Consider the following 18,779-nt stretch of genomic DNA (forward strand, 5'->3'; position numbering starts at 1 on the left):
AGTACTTGGGCCTACATGGGCCAGAGGTGGTTTATTCAGTCTCCATAAGAGAGGGGACAAACGGCACAGTTGGGTCCGTGAAGAGGAGGGTCCAAGAGCTCACAAGAGAGCCTCTCTGAGATTTGACCCCTCCATCCCCTCCTCAGGGAGGTTGTGGAGTCACTGGGCCTCATGGGATAGGCCCAGGGCAAGCAATGATGAGACTCCAAACCAGCTGGACACAGTCCAGGGGCAGGAAGGCAGCCAAGCGTCCTGACCCACAAGGCCCTATACAGCAATGGAGCCATCGCGGAAGTCCGTCCTCCCAATGAGGATGTTGACCACAACCGGGTGGCCGTCTCGGCACTGCTGCTGGGCATCGTGCAGCACCTTGACCACCTGATCCTCGTTCTCCCGTGAGAGCAGCAAGCCCCGGGCCCCCAGACCCATGGCTGCCTTGTGATAATCTAAAAGAAGAGATTAAGTCGGATAGTGGCAAGGACTCAGCCCACCGCACATGCAGCCAGCCCAGGAGAGGAACACAAGCCCAGCTGGGACTGAAACAGCCTCCTGTCCTCCCAACCTCGCTGAGGCCCCCTCACCAGTGTAGGCCAGGCCACAGGCCACGTTGCTGCCCAGAGAGGGCACCTGCTCCCGAGAAATCTGTGTCCAGCCAGCATCATTCCCTACCAAGGCCATCACTGGGATCTACAGGAAGATGATGAAGGCAGGCCGCAGCCTTCAGCCCCATGGCTTGGCCAGCCAGAGGACAGAGACAGGGATAGGGCCTCTGCCAGAGAGGAGGCTCCCTCCCCACCTCAGCCCACCCCTGGTGACATCTCCCAGAACCCCAGGCCCTAAGCTTCCCTCAGGCCAGCCCAGTCACCTTGTGTCTGACGAATGTATCAAATTCGATGAGGCTGTAGCCAAAAGCTCCGTCCCCAAACAGGCACCAGACCTAGTCGGGAGGGGACCCAGGATGGTTAGGGTGGATCAGGACCTAGAGAGCAGCAAGTCTCCCAACTCCAGTGCCTCACCTCAGCATCTGGCCGGCACAGCTTGGCCCCAAGTGCAAATCCTGCACCAACTCCCAGAGTCCCAAAGGCCCCTAAGAGGACCAAGAGCAGGTGGGTGTGAAGGCGTCCTGATGGATGGTGCCCACTGCCCCAGGCGGGGGCCCTTCCTTACCAGGATCGAGCCAGCGCAGGGGGCCGCGGGGCTGTACCAGATGGGCAGCAGTGCCCACGAAGTCCCCGCCATCCACCACCAGAATTGAGTTGTCAGGTAGCGTTTCCTCCACCAGCTGCAGCACCTGCACTGGGTTCAGGTGCTGGGCCACAGGCATCGCTGCCTTCTCCCTGCGACAGGACAGCGAAGGTCACCAGGGTTGGCAGCAGGGTCTGCCGGGAACCCCCTTCCCACATCCACTCCACCCAGGCCCCACCGAAAGGTCTGCTCCTTCTGCCGGTCGGCTTCCCGCAGCTCCTCCACCCAGTCTGGGGCCCAGGTCTGGCCCTGAAGGCCCTCCACTAACTTCAGCACGAAGGAACCCACATCTCCTGGGGAAGGAAGAGGACACAGCTGTGGGGAGCTGGCTTCCTCCTGTTCTTCCAGCATCAGAGGCCTCAAAACAGCAGGAAGCCAGCAGCAGCATCCGAGCAGGCAGACGGGAAGCAGGCCAGGGGTGCTCCTAGAAAAAAAACAGGTGAAACACCCCAGAACCTGCCAGAACCAGGGGAGGGCAGCCCAGGTGAAAAGGGAAGACAAGGCCCAAGAAACAAGGGTTAAGGAGCACAAGGCAGGTGACAAACCCAAGCTGGCCTCGTCCCCTCCCTCCACCTCCTTCTGCCTGGGAAACACTCAATGAAAAGAGCTACATCCACCAAGCACATCTCTCAAATCCAGGCACGTGGAAGCGCACAGCGAACGTTACTGAAGTGAACTAACAAACAGCCCCGTGATGTATCTTTCACCACCCCATTTTTCAAATGATCAAATGGAGGCTCTGAGAAGGTGAGGCTCTGCCGCTGTTCATCTCCAGTTCAGGCCTCCTCGCTTCTGTCCTGGCCATTTTGAGCAGCCCCCCTGGCCTCCACCCAGCCCCCTTCCGGCCTGCCGTCCATGGCTGCTGAGTGGACCTTCCCAACACAGATGCAACGGTGCTACTTCTCTGCTTAATACAAGAGTGTCCTGTCGCCTAGGCTGCAGGGGAGTCAACATCCTCAGAATGATGAACCAAGTTCAAGTCCAAGGGGACTAAAATAAGGGGAGGGGAGAGATACGGCAGGAAGACAGGCTAAGGGGCCAACGAGTGTGCTCTCTGTCCTGAGGGCAGTGGGCAGTGTGGGAGGGAACGTGATCACATGCACGTTTTCAAGCCTCCCTCTGTGTCCACCCCACCATTTGTTCCTACAGAAGCATCTATCAGGCCGGGCGCAGTAGCTCTGGTCTGTAATCCCAGCACTTTTGAGAGGCCGAGGCAGGAGGATCACTTGAGGCCAGGAGTTCCACGCCAACCTGGGCAACACAGTGAGATGCTGATTCCACAAAAAAAAATTAACAAATTAGCCTGGCATGGTGGTGCATACTTGTAGTCCCAGCTACTCAGGAGGCTGAGGTGGGAGGATTGCTTTTGAGCCTGGGAGTTTGAGGGTGCAGTGAGCTGTGATTGCACTACTGCATTCCAGCCTGGGTGACAGAGCGAGACCTCGTCTCTAAAAAATAAAAATAAAAAAAATTTAAAGAAAGAAGCATTCATCAGTTTGAGAGCCAACTATTTGTCTCTGGTTGACTGGCTACCCCTAGGGCAAGGTCTGGGCCTCAATCACTGTACCAGGCTCAAGCCAGCTGCAGCAGAAACCAGGAGGAGAGGGACTGGGAGGAGCACATATGTGTACGGGGGGATTAAGGGGCTCACCCTGCACAGCCTCCTGGGGCTTCCAGAAGATGTCTGAGTTGAGCAACATCTCTTCCCGATTACGATTGACGATGATGATCTTGCTGCTGTGGCTGAGGACACGGCCATAGGATAGGCGGAAGTCACACACAGTTCCTGGTGTGGGGGACAGGAATGCAGTAGGCAGAGGCCCCATGTCGTCTACCTTACTTGATCCACTGTGGTGGACTGGATGCAAATGAGTCCCTGTTCCTCACCGAGTCTCCCTGCACCTGTGCCACCTACAGTGACCTTGCAGCTCCCCACACCCCCTGAATCGGGACTGGCCTCATGACATGCTTTGGCCAACAGGATAGGGCAGAGGCAGGTTATATTTTCCCAGATGGCCATAATATCTCCCACCCTACATCCATTTGTACAAGGTCACCTTGACATGCCTCCCATGGAGAGAGGTGCAGCCTAGGTCCCCTTTCCTTGAAAGTGACACACCATGACACCCAACAAGGAAGATATGCAGTTTCTTCCTTGTTCACTTTTAGAGGCCTGGGTGGGGCCAAGGAATGTGCTCTCTGTCTAAGAAGTCTGACTACCCTGAGGCCATCATGCTGGGAGGAAACCGGAGCCACACATAGAGACCTGTGTAGTTGCCCTAGTCCACAGCCCCTCCAACAGCTGGCGTCAATTGCAAGACCTCTGAGTGAAGACACCTCCAGATGATTCAGGACCCCCACCCCCCATTCCTGCAGACTCTACTTCAAGAAGCCACACAGCCTCCACTCACTCTCTTGAATAACCGCACTCTCCTAGCCCCATAGTTTTCTCATCCTTCACCAAGTCGGCCAGCCCAGGCTAGCCTACTGGAGGATGAGAAACAAGGGGGCCATGGAGACAGGGGTGAAGAACTCTATGACCCCAGCTGAGGCCATCCCAGACGAGCTGCAGGGCCAGCCAATCCCCATACAGGTGAGCAAGCCCAGCCTGGATCAGCACAGCTGCCTTCCTGCCTAACCCAAGTGCAGACTCATGAATGAGCCCAGCCAAAACCACAGCTACCACCTACCTTATAGGTGGATCTTGAGAAATCAGAAATGCATTTTTAGCCATTGAGTTTGGGGATGGTTGTTACAGGGCAGTAGCTATCTGATACACCTATTATGCGTCTGGTTGGGTTCAAAGCGCTTTATGTGAAAATGTGTATCAAGTACAATAGGTGCCCACTAGACCTTCCTCCTCCTTCGTGTGAAGCTGGGTAACAGGGTGAGGGGGTTCCTGGGGGAAGGAGGGAAAGGAAGAGGCTCAGGCCCACCTGCTAGGACAATGACATCCGCCTTCTTCAGGGCCGCACTGCGGTTCTCCCGGATGTGGAGGGGGTGGTTGCGGCCTAACAGCCCCCGTGCCATCCCTCCAAGGAAGCAGGGAACACCCAAGGTCTCCACGGCAGCCCTGGGAGTCCAGGCAGAGCAGAGGTCAGTGTGGCCGGGGCCTCCCGCCTCCCCAAGAGCACCCGAGGACTGGGGACTGGGAACGTGAAAACAAGGGCAGGGCTGGCGCTTCTCACCGAAGCTTGTCGGCAGACGTTGGGGTGAGCAGGGCCTGACTCCCCAGCACCATCAGAGGCCTCTTGGCCCGGCTCAGGATCTCCACACAGCGCTGAACCTGGAGCGAGAGGTGGGGATCAAAGGGCTGTCTTTTTATTTATTTATTTTTTTGAGACACAGTTTCACTCTGTTGCCCAGGATAGAGTGTAATGGCATGATCTCAGCTCACTGCAGCCTCCACCTCCCAGGTTCAAACGATTCTCCCGCCTCAGCCTCCAGAGTAGCTGGGATTACAGGCGCGTGCCACCATGCCTGGCTAACTTTTGTATTTTCAGTAGAGACAGGGTTTCACCATGTTGGCCAGGCTAGTCTTGAACTCCTGGCCTCAAGTGATCCGCCTGCCTCGGCCTCCCTAAGTGTTGGGATTGCTGCTGTGAGCCACCGCGTCCAGCCAAAGGGCCGCCCTTGAGTCGCCATGAGCACCCAAGATTAAGGCCCCAGTACTGACTCAGGGAGAGGGTCAGGGGGCCCTCTCCCCTCAGGGAGAGGGTAGGGTCCTCAGACACAAAAGAGAGGCAATTCACCTGCTGCGGGGAAGCCTGGGGGATGTCCAGGGGCAGCGGTCCCTCGGGCTGAGGCTCCCAGGCTCCTGCAAAGAGGTTGGCCAGGTAATTCTCTAAATACCTGCAAAAGGGAGGGGGAAGAAACCAAGTTGCCAGAATTAACTAACTACAAGGATTCCAGGATCTGAGCAAGGAAAGGGGCCGGGAGAAAAGCCAGGAGCAAAGTGGCATGGGGACAGGGTGGATGAGTGACACCTCAGGGACAGACGAACCCTAGTGGCCAGGTCTTCAACTGCCTGTTTGCCCTCGGTAGCCTCTGGGGTCCACCCCAACTCCACGTAGCCCCCCAGAAGCAAGGAACGCAGGCTCAGCATGCCAGGATTAAGCCTGTGGGTCCAACAGATGTGAGCTCAAGTCCTGGCTCTGTCACTTCCTAGCTGTGCAACTTAGGGCAAGTGACTTCACCCTTCTGAGCTTCCACCTCTGTCAATGTAAATATGAACCTCCCTCCCCAGGTTCAAGGATCTGTCCACTTAGGACATGAGGCGCTTTGCATGGGAGTTCTGAACACTGTCCTCTCCTGCTTCAAACAGGGTCTTCTCGGTCTCCTTGCTCACTGGGCCCCAGGGCCCCAACTTTCCTGAAGGACCTGTGCAGGGCCCTGGAGACACAAAGATAGATCCTGCCCAGCCCTCCCCTCAGGGGGCGCTCTATCCAGCGAAAGACAGACACATGGGCATTGGCAGGAAACAGTCGGAGCTCAGAGTCAGAAGCCTCTGCTTTCACCGTTAAGGACAGGCCAAGACAGCACAGAAGCAGCCCAGGATGGAACCGTGGGAAGCCCCGCAAGTAAAGAAAAGGCAAGGGAGGCTGAGGCAGGAGGATTGCTCGAGGCCAGGAGTTCAAGGCTGTGGTGAGCTATGATCATACCACTGCACTCCAGCCTGGGTGATAGAGTGAGGCCCTGTCTCAAAACAAAACAAAACAAAAAAGGCAAGATAAGAGATAGCCTTGTGAGAGGCAGCCCAAGAGAGAGGGGCAAGGAGAACAAGGGGAGGGACTGACTGGGAAGCCAGGGGGCAAAGTGCATTAAGAATGAGGCTATATGACCAAAATGGTGAAACCTCATCTCTACTAAAAATACAAAAATTAGCTGGGTATGGTGGACTGCACCTGTATTCCCAGCTACTCCGGGGGCTGAGGCAGGAGAATCACTTGAACCCGGGAGGTGGAGGTTGCAGTGAGCCAAGATCGCACTACTGCGCTCCAACCTGGGGGACAAAGCGAGACTCCGTCTCAAAAAAAATAAAGAGGCCATAGAACAAAATCACTACTGCCTGAGCTGACCCTCAGGCGCTTCACACACATCCGGAGTACAGGAGCCTGACTACCTTGTCCACTGATGATGCCCCGTGCCTGTCCTGGAACCTGGCACATGGCTGCCGCTCGCTAAATGTATGGAAAGGAAGGGCCAAGGACAGGCAAAGGGAAGGGACTGAGGGGAAGGGAGAGAAGGAGGAAGAAGAGGAAGAGGAGGAGGAGAAGAAAGGAAAGGAAGAAGAAGAAGAGAAGAGGCCAGGCGCAGTGGCTCATGTCTGTAATGTTTGAGAGGCCGAGGAGGGTGGATCACTTGAGGTTAAGAGTTCAAGACCAGCCTGGCCAACATGATGAAACCTCGTCTCTACTAAAAATACAAGTATTAGCCAGGTGTGGTGGCGGGCGCCTGTAGTCCCAGCTACTCAGAAGGCTGAGGCAGGAAAATCACTTGAACCCAGGGGGAGGCGGAGGTTGCAGTGAGCCGAGATCACGCCACTGCACTCAAGCCTAGGCAACAGAACGAAGAATCTGTTTCAAAAAAAAAAAAAAAGAAAGAAAAGGACAAAGATGTGAGGGAAGGAAAGGAGGAGGAAGGAGAGGGCTCGAGTCTGGGCTCTGCCACTTTTTTTTTTTTTTTTGAGACGGAGTCTTGCTCTGTCACCCAGGCTGGAGTGCAGTAGCACGATCTTGGCTCACTGCAAGCTCCACCTCCTGGGTTCACGCCATTCTCCTGCCGCAGCCTCCCAAGTAGCTGGGACTACAGGCGCCCGCCACCACGCCCGGCTAATTTTTTTTTTTTTTGTATTTTTAGTAGAGATGGGGTTTCACCATGTTAGCCAGGATGGTCTCGATCTCCTGACCTCGTGATCTGCCCACCTCGGCCTCCCAATGTGCTGGGATTACAAGTGAGAGCCACCGCACCCGGCCTGGGCTCTGCCACTTCTTAGCTGTGTGACTTTGGGCAAGTGACTTCACCTTTCTGAGCTTCCTCCTCTGTAAATGTAAGAATGAACCTCCCTTCCGAGGTTCAAGGATCATCCTTTAGGAGGAGGAAAACGGAGAGGACGATGGGAAAGGTGGTGGGGGAAAGGGAGGAGAAGAGGAAGGAAGAGGGAGGAGGAAGAGGAGGAAGAAGAGATGATGGAGGAGGAGAAGAAAGGGAAAAGGAGGAGGAGGAGGGCTGTCCTGAGCCTCTCCCCTTTGCTGCCTCCACGAGGGCCGCCTTGCTTTCCCTACCCACCCAGTTCATTCCTGCCTCAGGACCTTTGCACATGCTGTTCCTTCTACCTGGAATGCTCTCCCCCCAGCTGTCTCCTCCCAGTCCACATGTGAATCAAAGGAGGATGGGTGTGGGCTGGAAGCTGCAGGAGAGAACGGGGGATAAAGGAGGGAATGGCAGGGGTGGGGCTATTCACCAGGAGACCACTCGGCCCACGAGGCCCTTGGGTGGCTTGGCTGGCACCATCTCCTTCTGGACCATGAAGTAGGGGTACAGCACGTCAACGGGCAGCTCCACAAACACCGGACCTGCAGGGACAGGGAGGACGCTGAGTCCATAACATGTCCCCAGCCCCTCGGCCCCAGCACTGCTCAGCATCACCATCCTCCACCTACCTGGGGTGCCCGACTGGGCGGCAGCCATCGCGGCCCTCAGGGTGGGCACAATGTCCCGCACCCTCCGCACAGACACACAAAACTTACAGAGTGGCCGGAAAAGGGACAGCTGATCAACAGCCTGGAGCGCACCCCGGTTCTGGCAAAGACAGAGGTGTGGCAGGGTTATCGCATGAGCCCTTCAAGCCCCCCTAGGCCCCCACTGGCCCCCAAGGACTGGGTACCTGCAGCAGAGTGCTGGCAGCCCCACCCAGAAGCAGGATTGGGGACTGAGCCATCTGAGCATTCTTCACCGCAGTCACCGTGTTGGTGAGGCCAGGGCCTGCTGTCACTGCCGCCACGCCCACCGTCCCTGGAACACAGAGCCCATCACAGCCATGCCCACTCTCTTGGCCATTCTTCCACCTCTGAAAAACCCCTACCCTCACAGACACTCTAGCCCACAGTCCAACCAGTCCCCAGCCCTCTCTGCAATGCCCTCACCGGACAGGCGGGCCATAGCATCAGCAGCAAAGACGGCCGTGACCTCATGGCGTGTGTCCACCACACGGATGCCCAGTTTCTCACAGGCCACCAGCAGCGGGGAAATGTGCCCACCGACCAGCGTGAAGATGAACCGCACACCATGGGCCCTCAGCACAGCGGCCACGTTCTCTCCGCCATGCCGGACGCTTGCCTTGTCCACCTGGGCCCAAGGACAGGTGGAGCAATAAAGTTAAAGGCCAGGGCAGAGGGCAGCTGGGAAAGGGGGCAATCCCCCTGCCCCAGGTAAGGGGGCAGGAGCAGGGTGAGAGGTCAAGAGAAGCTTGGTCTTGGTTAGGCATATATTATACTACATGCCAGGCTCAAACCAAGGCATAACATCTTATCAGATCCTCTTGTCATTACATCCCTCTTACAGCTGAGGACATCAAGGCTTGCCCAAGTAAGACTGAAAGTTCAATAGAACCCACGCTCTTAAGTGCCCCACTGTTACACTGCCTGTCTCCAGGATGGCAGGGCAATCAGGGAGAGAGGAGAGGGTTATATAACCCAGGGGGTTTGGCCAGGGGCACAACGCACGCAGAGCAGATGGCAGGGAGCCATCTGCTGTGACTCCTCCCTGCCCTCCAGTATCCTTGCAGAGCCTGGCAGCTGGGCTCCTGATCCCAGCCTCCCTGATGCCCTCCTGATGGACGCTAAACAGGCCCAGGGCTTAGTTGACAGGCTGCCAGCCACCATGTGCCTGGCACGGGAGTGAGCTGCTGGCACAGACTGTGCCGAGGCCTCCCAACTCCAGCTGCCTCACAGCCCTACACATCCAAGGCTTGCTTTAAATCTCCTAAGTCCTGAAGGTCAGTGGCATCACTCCTGGCTAGCAGAGGAAGCAGTAGAGAAGGGTTTGGGGAGGGAGAGGTCAAGCTTGGTCCCTGCTAGGAGAGAAAGGGTTGAGGAAGGGGTCTGGAGAAGGGGTAAATTTCAAACAGAGGTGCAAGGAGTTTAGGGGGACACCTGTGGGGTCAGCTCTCTCCAAACATGTCACCTAGGGCAAACCACCACACAATCTCTCTGAGCCTCAGCTTCCTCTTGCAGAAAATGAAGACAGAAAGAACAGCACCTACTTTCAAGGAAAAGGTAAGGGGTAGGTAAGAAAGTCTACAGTACTGAGCTCAGCAGAGGGCAACTGTTATGAAACTGTCACTGCCACCCCCTCGCTGGAGCCTGCCCTCTGCCCCATTTATCCCATCCAGGTTAGGGAGCACAGAGTGCTGTCCATCTGTTCTGTGAAAAGAGTCACTGGGGAAGGAGGTAGGTGGGGTGCGAGTGCCCCGGCAGCGGCAGCTTCCGTGTTCTCTCTTACCAGTGGCAAAGTCCAGGCCTCCATACACAGCGTGGCAATGGAGACAGGGCCCTGGACAGAACCTCTTACCAGTCCCTCTGGACTAGTCGGGGCTCGCTTTCCCACCCTGCACAATGAGTGAGCTGGAAGCAGCACCACGAGGCCCCTCCCTCTTTGACTGCCCCCAGCCCACCTCCCATTCTGTGCCCCGCACCTTGTGCAGCAGCTGATAGAAGAGCCCCAGGCGGTGAGCGGCGCCCAGCAAGGCGGCCACCAGCGTCCCGCAGGCCAGGAGCAGGAAGGAGGGGAATAAGCTCCCAGCGGGGGCGGCGGCCGCGGGGGTCTCCATGAGGTGGTACCTAAGAGAGAAAGGGCACTTCCCAGACTTGGGCGCGACAGGGAACCTCTCCGGAAGAAATCGCGCCCCTTCTCGCAGCAGGATCCAGGGCCACGACCCTTGCCGCCAGTTTCTGTGCGGCCACGCCCCCAACCCTGCCAGACCACGCCCTTTGTGCGCCTAGGCTCGGGGTGAAGCCATGCCTCTCCGTGACAAGGTCACGCCCCTCGCGGGGCTAGCCCCAGTCCTTTACATCACCACCACTCCCACCCAAACTAGCCACCACAAGTCAAGGTGGCGACGACAGCACCACACAGTTATCTTCCACTTACCTACTTGTCAATGGACAGGCGGAAGCCCCGCCTCTCTTTCCACAACCGGACCCCAAATCTCAGCCCCAGTAGTGAGCCCGCCCCATGTTACGTCACCAAGAGGCACGAGGTCACGCCCCCGGGTTAGCGGGCGCGACCCTCCACGCAACCCACGCCTCTCCCTTAAAGAGCGCACGGGCCCGAGCCTGATCCCCGACCCCGGGCCAGGCTGGGTCGAGGTCACATCGCATCAGGATGTGGTTCTCCCACACCAGCTCGACCCCCGACGCTATTCACCTTCACCTCCAGGATATGGCGCTGCCTCCAGCAGAATTCGGCCCCCTCCGTGTCACGTGACCCGGGAGCGTGGCCGTGCCCGGGTGGCCCACTTGGCTCAGCGGCGCCCCGTAGTCCGGCCCGATGCGCATGCGCACAGTCGGAGCCCCGCTCCGGGGCCACCCGAAAGAGCCTTGCCTCTACTGGCCGCCTCCCTCATAGACCCCGCCTCCCCTTGCCTTTCATTGGCTCGCACTGCAGACCTCACACCCATTTTATGTTTTAAAACCAGGAGGCCACGCCCCTCAGCGGCTTCAGGAGCCCAGACCTTTGGGGGCCCACCTTCCGCAGCTTTCCATTGGCCCCACGGTGGAAGCCCGTAGGTTCAGGCCCTCCGAACACAGCTCGCTTTCCACACCAGCGGGGCCGTACCAGAGCAAGACCATGTCTCACAAAATAATAATAATACTTAAAAAATGGTAAATTTTATGTTATGTATATTTTCCACACTATAAATAAATATTTGTGCATGTATATATATATATGTGTATATTTTTTGTATAATAGGTATAGTAGTAAGCAAAGGAAATTCACACTGAGTCACATTCTACAAAATGCCTAACCAGACCTCTACAAAACTGTCAAGGTCATGAAAAACAAAGACTGAGGCACTGCCACAGACTAGAGGAGGGAAAGGAGCTGTGACAACTAAATTCAATATAGTACCCTGGACTGGATCCAGGAATCAAAAAAAGGACAAATTTGTGGATAAAGTTGGTGAAATCCAAATAAAGTTTGGAGTTGAGTTAGTAGTAATGAACCAGTGTTAATCTTTTTGTTTCAGTAAATGTATTATGGTTATATAAGATGTTAGCATTCAGGGAAGCTGGATAAAGAGTAGACAAAAATTATCTTGCTATCTTTGCAGCTTTTCTGTAAAGCTAAAAAAGAAAAAAAAAGTCTTAATAACAAGGATACAATTTTCCAGAGAGAGAGAAAGATGTTGTAATAGATGTAAATTCTTTCTTGGGAGACAAAGCTTTAACATGCTCCAAGACTAATTATCTGACCAATCTCTCCCCAGATAAAGAAAGATTGTCACTAGGCAAATGTCCAAAAAGCTTCTCAGCCGAAAGCTGGATTATTCAACAGTCCCTGAAACAAATATACACAGAGGACAAGTGATTTTTTTAAAAAGGGAAACAAGCCTGGCATGGTGGTCCATGTGTGTAATCCCAGCACTTTGGGAGGCCAAGACAGGAGGATCGCTTGAGGCCAGGAATTTGAGACCAACCGGGGCCAAAAAGTGAGACCCAGTCTCTCCAAAAAACAAACAAACAAACAAACTTAGCCAGGAGAATCGCTTGAACCCGGGAGGTGGAGGTTGCGGTGAGCTGAGATCACGCCATTGCACTCCAGCCTGGGAAACAGAGCAAGACTCTGTCTAAAAAAAATTTTTTTTAAAAGAAAAAAAATTAGCTGAGTATGGTGGCACGTGCTTGTTATCCCTTTTGCTTGGGAGGTTGAGAAGGGAGGATTGCTTGAACCCAAGAGGTTGTGTCTACAGTGAGCTGTGATCGTGCCACTGCACTCCAGCTGGGGCAACAGAGCAAGACCCTGTCTCTAAAAAAAAGGGGGTGGGTGTGGGGCAGGGGAGGAAACAAATACCATGTATCTAAATTGATCGAAATTTAAAGAGAAGTGCAACAAATTATTGAGTTAGAGGGATACAGTAAGGGCCTCTCTTAGGACAAGCAGAAGGACTCTCTAAGGAGGTGACAGTTGAGCAGAGAGACCAGGAGGAAGTGAGGACATGGGCCCCACAAGGATCTGGAGAAAGAGTAATCCAGGTAGAGAAGATGGCACATGCAAAGGCCCTGAGGTGTTTTATTAATTTCCTTTGATGGCCATAACACATTACCACAAATTGGGTGGCTTGAAACAACAGGAATTAATTCTCTTACACTTCGGGAGGCCAGAAATTCAGCATGGAGGCATCAGTGGGGCCATACACTCTCTCGAGATCTTTGGGGAGGATCCTTACCTTCTCCAACTTCAAGAGGCTCCAGGCATTCTTTGGCTTATGGCTGCGTCACTCCAATTTCTCCGTATATCTTCAGATGGCCTTATTCCCTGTGCCTGCATCTCCTTCTGTATCTTTTTTTTTTTTTTTTTTGAGACGGAGTCTCACTCTTTCGCCCAGGCTGGAGTGCAGTGGCGCAATCTCGGCTCGCTGTAACCTCCACCTCCTAGGTTCAGGCAATTCTCCTGCCTCAGCCTCCTGAGTAGCTGGGATTACAGGCACACACCACAACACCCGGCTAAATTTTTTTGTATTTTTAGTAGAGATGGGGTTTCACCATATTCACCAGAGTGGTCTCGAACTCCTGACCTCAGGCAATCCGCCTGCCTCAGCCTCCCAAAGTGCTGGGATTACAGGCATGAGCCATCGGGCCCGGCCCTCCTCCTCTACGTCTTACAAGGATACTTGTCATTGCATTTAGGGACCACCCTCATCCAGGATAGGCTCATCTTGAGACCCCTCACTTAACTACTTCTGCAAAAACACATTTTCCAAGTTAGGTCACATTTGCACGTTCTGAATGTACATTTTAGGGTCTGTCATTCAACTCATTACAAATGGGATGGGCTTTGCATGTGCAGAGAAAGTCAGGAAAGCCAGGATAGCTAGAAGGAAGAGAGCAGAGGAGGCAGGGAGGAGACGCTATCAAAGGCTGGACAAAGGCCAGACAGGTATGATTTTACAGACTGCATGAGGACTGCAAATTTTATTCTAAGTGAATTGGAAAGCCAGAGAGGATTTTGAACAATATGCAACCACACACAATCTGCACATGATTATTCATAGGTGCTTTAGTTGCAATAGCTGAAAACTGGAAAAAATAACAAAAAACAACAAAAAAAATATCCCTTAAGAGAGGAATGGTTAAACAAACTGTGATTCACCCATACCATGAAACACTGCTCAGCAATAAAGAGGGCAAACTACTAAAACACGACAGGCCAGGTGCAGTGGCTCACGCTTGTAATCCCAGCACTTTGGGAGGCTGAGGCGGGTGGATCACCTGAGGTCAGGTGTTCAAGACCAGCCAGACCAACATGGTGAAACCCCGCTCTACTAAAAATATAAAAAACTAGCTGGGCATGGTGGTGGGTGCCTGTAATCCCAGCTACTCAGGAGGCTGAGGCAGGAGAATCACTTGAACCCGGGAGGCAGAGGTTGCAGTGAGCTGAGATCGTGGCATTGTACTCCAGCCTGGGTAATAAAGCGAGACTCCATCTAAAAAAAAAATATATATATATATGTATGTAGTCAGGCATGGTGGCATGCAGCTGTAGTCCCAGATACTGGAGGCTGAAGCAGGAAGATCTCTTGAGCCCAGGAGTTTGAGGCTGCAGTGAGCCATGATTGTGCAACTGCACTCCAGTCTGGGAGACAGAGCAAGACCCTCTGTCTTGCTAAAAACATAAAATACAACAAAACAGAAAAGCAAAGAAGCACGCAACACTTTGGATGAATCTCAAAATAAGTAGCCTGATTGAAAGAAGCCAATCTTGGCCGGGCGTGGGGCTCATGCCTGTAATCCCAGCACTTTGGAAGGCGGAGGCGGGTGGATGACCTGAGGTCAGGAGTTCGAGACCACCCTGACCAACATGGTGAAACCCCGTCTCTACAAAAAACATAAAAAATTAGCCAGGTGTCGTGGTGGGCGCCTATAATCCCAGCTACTCAGGAGGCTGGGGCAGGAGGATCACTTGAACCCAGGAGACAGAGTTTGCAGTGAGCCAAGATTGTGCCATTGCACTCCAGCCTGAGCAACAAGAGCAAAACTCCGTCTCAAAACAAAAAGAAAGAAGCCAATTTCAAAGGTACCATTAATATGATCCATTTATATGATATTCTCCAAAAGTGACAAAACCATACTATGGGAGGAAAGATCAGTGTTGCCAGGGGTTAGGGAAGGGTGTTAGAATAAAGGGGGTAGCATAGAAGGTTTTGGGGGTGATAGAACTGTTTTGTATTATGGTGGCTGCATGTGTTAAAATTCTAATTATGATAGTGGTTACCTATGTTAAAATTTTTATTGAACTGAACTCTAAAAATTTCAATTTTACTGCATGATCCTTTAAAAACTAAAATTACGTACATATAATTTTATACATATATGTGTAAATAAATAGATAATTATATGCACACACACACCGTCCATAAATAAATAGAATTGTTTAAAGACACACTGGCACCAAACCAAAGTGATCCCTTGAAGTAACCAGAAGATTTGAAAGAGAACTGGAAAAGGGACTCAATTTCTGCCTGTGCAATTCAAAGGTGTCTTTGATGTTACTCGCAGGAAACGCTGCTGTTAAGTGTTTCAAGTCTGGGGAAGCAATGCGCTTACCACACCCTCATATCCTTGTCAATGCTTATTTTTATGAGTTTCGAAGTAAGTATAGAGTCTGGAAATGTCACAGAGGGAAGCGATCATCAATGTCAAGTCCTCTCTTTGATGACTTGTGAGACACAGAGCGGGGTGATCTCTGCAAGTCTCAGCAAGTGGTTCAGTACTAAACTGGTTCCCAGATTTCCTGACTCTTCCCGGTGGGCATGAAATCCCTGTGTTTCTAAACGCTCCTACAGCCTTCGAGAAGGCTCCTAAGGCACTTAGAGCTCCTTCTAAACTGATGCAGGCCCCTAATCCTGGCTTTCATCTCCTTGAGCCAAGGACAGCATCACGTAGGCTTCCAACCGTCGTCATGAGGTGTGAGTCATACCGGCCTCCACACCTGTAGGAGGTAATGCCTAACAGGGAGTGATGGAACCGGTATTTCCATCCACTCAAGCAAATAAATGAAAACCAACAAGCTCTCACCACTGGGGAAAATTAACCATCCACAGAAACCACGAAAACATTACTAAAGGAGTTGTCAGTAATTTATAAATGAACAGATTCCCAAAATTTAAAAAGAAAAATGGAGTCATCCTACACAACTTTCAATGTGCTTAACATGCCCCTTAAAATTGAAAATGAGGCTGGGTGCTCATGCCTGTAATCCCAACACTTTGGCGGAGCCAAGGTGGGAGGATCACTTAAGAGTTTGAGACCAGCCTGAGCAACTTAGAAAGATTCCGTTTCTACAAAAAAATTTTAAAATTAGCCAGGTGTGGTGGTGCGCACCTGTAGCCCCAGCTACTTGGGAGGCTGAGATGTTGCTTGAGCCCAGGAGTTTGAGGCTGTGGTGAACTATGATCACACCACTGCACTCCAGCCTGGGCAACACAGCAAGACCTTTTCTCAAAAAAAGAAATATTGAGGCCAGGCACAGGGGTTCACGCCTGTAATCCCAGCACTTTGGAAACCCGAGGCAGGCAGATCACTTGAAGTTAGGAGTTCGACACCAGCCTGACCAACATGGTGAAACCCTGTCTCTACCAAAAATACAAAAATTAGCCAGGCCTGGTGGCACACGCCTGTAATCCCAGCAACTCAAGAGGCTGGAGCAGGAGATTCGCTTAAACCTGGGAGGCAGAGGTTGCAATGAGCTGAGATCACGCCACTGCACTCCAGCCTGGGCGACAGAGCAAGTCTCTGTCTCGAAAAAAGAAAAATTGAAATTGAAATCCAACATCCTGGGATGAGCTGACCCACAGAAGCTTTTTGGTAATAGCCAAAAACTGAAAAAACCAAAATACTCCTCGAGAAGTGAATGGTTAAATGTCCTACGGCACATCCATTCCATGGAATACTACTCAGCAATGTAATAAGCATTTATTCGATATTATACTTTATGTATTATAAAAAGAAAGGCAATTATCATTGGCAGAGAAGAGAGTCATCCTCCAAAATATGGACCTCTTTAGTCATGCCTAATGGAACATAGTATAAGAATTATTATTCCCTTAATAATTATTATTTCCTTCCTAGAGAGAAAGTTATATTAGCTAATCATAAATACACAGAATCTAGAAATTGTTCTAAAACTTTATTTTTCTCAGTGGGGCGCAGTGGCTCACGCCTGTAATCCCAGCACTTTAGGAGGCTGAGGCGGGTGGATCGCCTGAGGTCAGGAGTTCGAGACCAGCCTGGCCAACATAGTGAAACCCCGTCTCTACTAAAAAATACAAAAAATTAGCTGACTGTGGTGGCGGGTGCCTACAATCCCAGCTACTCAGGAAGCTGAGGCAGCAGAATCGCTTGAACCTGGGAGGCGGAGGTAGCAATGAGCTGAGATTGTGCCATTGCACTCCACGGCAACAAGAGTGAAACTCCGTCTCAAAAACAAAACAAACAAACAAAAAAACCTTTATTTTTCTCTTGAGGCTCCCATCAGACTACCTGGGAAGGAGATCTTCGCTCCTGTCTCCCTTTCCTTTCCTTTCTCTTATCCCTCATTTCCTTTGGGTTTGGTTTTTTTTTTTTTTTTTTAGTACTAACTGCAGGATCTTGGCTCCCAGTGAATTGGCTAAGATTGTGAAGAGTATTGACAGCTTGGGGCTGAATCCTAGTTTTGCCTTTCAGTTGCATTTGATATTAGACACATTTCTTTTCTTTTCTTTTTTACTTCCCATGCTGCACTGATGTAACTTTTTTTTTTTTTTTTTTTTTTTTAGTTTCTAATTTTTGTGAGTACATAGTAGGTGTATATATTTATGGGGAACACAAGATTTTTTTTTTGTATCCATTAACCATCCCCACTTCCGTCCCACCCCCCACCACCCTTCCCAGCCTCTGGTAACCATCCTTCTACTCTCTATCTCCAAGAGTTCAATTGTTTTAATTTTAGCTCCCACAAATAAGTGAGAATATGCCAGTTCCATCTAAATTGTTGCAAATGACAGGATCTCATTTTTTTATGGCTAAATAGTACTCCATTGGGTATAATAAGTACCCCAAAGTCCACTATGTCATACTTTTTTTTTTTTTGGAGGTGGAGTTTCACTCTTGTCACCCAGGCTGGAGTGCAATGGCACGATCTTGGCTCACTACAACATCTGCCTTCTGGGTTCAAGTAATTACCCTGCCTCAGCCTCCTGAGTAGCTGGGATTACAGGCGCCCACAACCATGTCTGGCTAGTTTTTGTATTTTTAGTAGAGACAGGGTTTCGCCATGTTGGCCAGGCTCGTCTTGAACTCCTGACCTCAGGCGATCCACCCACCTCGGCCTCCCAAAGGGCTGGGATTACAGGCATGAGCCACCACACTCAGCCCATCGTGCCCTTTAAAGGAAATGTATATGTTCCTTTGAGCCTTTAAGTTTCTCCTATAGCCTGGGATAAAAATGTATGGTTGGGCTGGGCGCAGTGGCTCACACCTGTAATCCCAGCACTTTGGGAGGCCGAGGTGAGTGGATCACTTGAGGCCAGGAGTTCAAGATCAGCCTGGCGAACATGGAGAAACCCTATCTCTGCTAAAAATACAAAAATTAGCCAGTCATGGTGGCGTGCGCCTGTAGTCCCAGCTACTCAGGAGACTGAGGCACGAGAATCACTTGAACCTGGGAGGCGGAGGTTAAAGTGAGCTGAGATCATGCCACTGCACTCCAGCCTGAGCGACACAGCAAGACCCTTGTCTCAAAAAAAAGTATGATTGGAGCTAAAGAAGCAACTTTGGACTCAGACATGGAAGCTATGATTTAAGGAAAGCACTTTACCAGCCCTAAACTACCCACCTCCAGACCTGTACATGAGCAAGATATAACTTCTATCCAGGTTAAACTACTCTATTTTAGGTTCTCGTTGTTACAGCAGCTCATACTGTACAATAATTTAAAAGTTAGCACCAAGAGTGGGGTTTTGCCCTAATAAGTACCAGATGTGGGGTTTTGCCCTACTAAGAACCAGAACTGGGGTTCTGCTGTAGTAAAAACCTGAACTGTAAGGCATTAACTTGACCATCAGACAGCAGGTCATGAAGACACAGATACAAGGTGAGGATCTGGTGATCTATGTTACATTATGGCAGACCACTAGGTAAAACTGTGATGTCTTGAATGACAGAGCAGGCACCGATGGAGTCTCCAAGCTTTGGAGATGTCATTGGAAGAACCCAGACTATTTGTGTGTGTGTGTGTGTGTGTGTGTGTGTGTGTGTGTGTGTGTGTGTGTTGAC

At 51.8% G+C, this 18,779-nt stretch overlaps 1 protein-coding gene and 1 long non-coding RNA gene across 4 annotated transcripts, besides 5 other annotated features; one reads left to right on the forward strand and one right to left on the reverse strand.

Annotated features, from left to right (window-relative positions):
* Positions 1 to 2: 2 nt before the first annotated feature.
* HACL2 (2-hydroxyacyl-CoA lyase 2) lies at positions 3 to 10,802 on the reverse strand. Of its 3 annotated transcripts, none has more exons than NM_006844.5 (16): positions 10,672 to 10,802; positions 9,941 to 10,085; positions 8,391 to 8,592; positions 8,132 to 8,259; positions 7,908 to 8,046; positions 7,709 to 7,820; positions 4,998 to 5,097; positions 4,434 to 4,531; positions 4,182 to 4,318; positions 2,897 to 3,031; positions 1,424 to 1,538; positions 1,168 to 1,337; positions 1,017 to 1,087; positions 866 to 937; positions 582 to 687; positions 3 to 446 (listed from the first exon to the last, which is right to left on the reverse strand). In NM_006844.5, the coding sequence occupies exons 2-16, from the start codon at positions 10,073 to 10,075 to the stop codon at positions 268 to 270; spliced, it is 1,899 nt and encodes a 632-aa protein (NP_006835.2). In that variant the 5' UTR covers positions 10,076 to 10,085; positions 10,672 to 10,802; the 3' UTR covers positions 3 to 267. The 3 variants fall into 3 exon arrangements, with proteins under 3 accessions (NP_006835.2, XP_005259774.1, XP_011525953.1); XM_005259717.5 differs by having other exon boundaries at positions 10,396 to 10,802; XM_011527651.3 differs by lacking the exons at positions 9,941 to 10,085; positions 10,672 to 10,802 and adding an exon at positions 10,086 to 10,208.
* On the forward strand, positions 9,176 to 11,190 carry ILVBL-AS1 (ILVBL antisense RNA 1). The gene is made up of 3 exons (NR_186314.1): positions 9,176 to 9,241; positions 9,480 to 9,521; positions 10,943 to 11,190. It is a non-coding gene; the product is annotated as an ILVBL antisense RNA 1 (long non-coding RNA).
* Positions 9,542 to 10,307: an enhancer, noted in NCBI's record as "H3K27ac-H3K4me1 hESC enhancer chr19:15235337-15236102 (GRCh37/hg19 assembly coordinates)". NCBI's record gives its function as "activates a minimal SCP1, AML or CMV promoter by ChIP-STARR-seq in primed H9 embryonic stem cells {active_cell/tissue: H9 hESC(primed)}" and the evidence as "EXISTENCE:reporter gene assay evidence [ECO:0000049][PMID:30033119]".
* Positions 10,256 to 10,305: a silencer, noted in NCBI's record as "silent region_10265". NCBI's record gives its function as "represses an Ori minimal core promoter by ATAC-STARR-seq in GM12878 lymphoblastoid cells {active_cell/tissue: GM12878}" and the evidence as "EXISTENCE:reporter gene assay evidence [ECO:0000049][PMID:35858748]".
* Positions 10,308 to 11,071: an enhancer, noted in NCBI's record as "H3K27ac-H3K4me1 hESC enhancer chr19:15236103-15236866 (GRCh37/hg19 assembly coordinates)". NCBI's record gives its function as "activates a minimal SCP1, AML or CMV promoter by ChIP-STARR-seq in primed H9 embryonic stem cells {active_cell/tissue: H9 hESC(primed)}" and the evidence as "EXISTENCE:reporter gene assay evidence [ECO:0000049][PMID:30033119]".
* Positions 10,566 to 10,655: an enhancer, noted in NCBI's record as "active region_14181". NCBI's record gives its function as "activates an Ori minimal core promoter by ATAC-STARR-seq in GM12878 lymphoblastoid cells {active_cell/tissue: GM12878}" and the evidence as "EXISTENCE:reporter gene assay evidence [ECO:0000049][PMID:35858748]".
* Positions 10,876 to 10,945: a silencer, noted in NCBI's record as "silent region_10266". NCBI's record gives its function as "represses an Ori minimal core promoter by ATAC-STARR-seq in GM12878 lymphoblastoid cells {active_cell/tissue: GM12878}" and the evidence as "EXISTENCE:reporter gene assay evidence [ECO:0000049][PMID:35858748]".
* Positions 11,191 to 18,779: the final 7,589 nt, after the last annotated feature.

Source organism: Homo sapiens, chromosome 19, assembly GCF_000001405.40.
Source record: "Homo sapiens chromosome 19, GRCh38.p14 Primary Assembly".
Taxonomy (NCBI): domain Eukaryota; kingdom Metazoa; phylum Chordata; class Mammalia; order Primates; family Hominidae; genus Homo; species Homo sapiens.

Excerpts from the sequence above, each read along its gene's own strand:
- HACL2 (NM_006844.5), bottom strand. The coding sequence starts at position 10,075 with ATGGAGACCCCCGCGGCCGCCGCCCCCGCTGGGAGCTTATTCCCCTCC. Across the intron at positions 8,260-8,390 it reads TGCTATGGCCCGCCTGTCCG|GGACGGTGGGCGTGGCGGCA; the intron begins GTGAGGGCATTG and ends TCTGTGTTCCAG. Across the intron at positions 7,821-7,907 it reads CGCCCAGTCGGGCACCCCAG|GTCCGGTGTTTGTGGAGCTG; the intron begins GTAGGTGGAGGA and ends CTGTCCCTGCAG.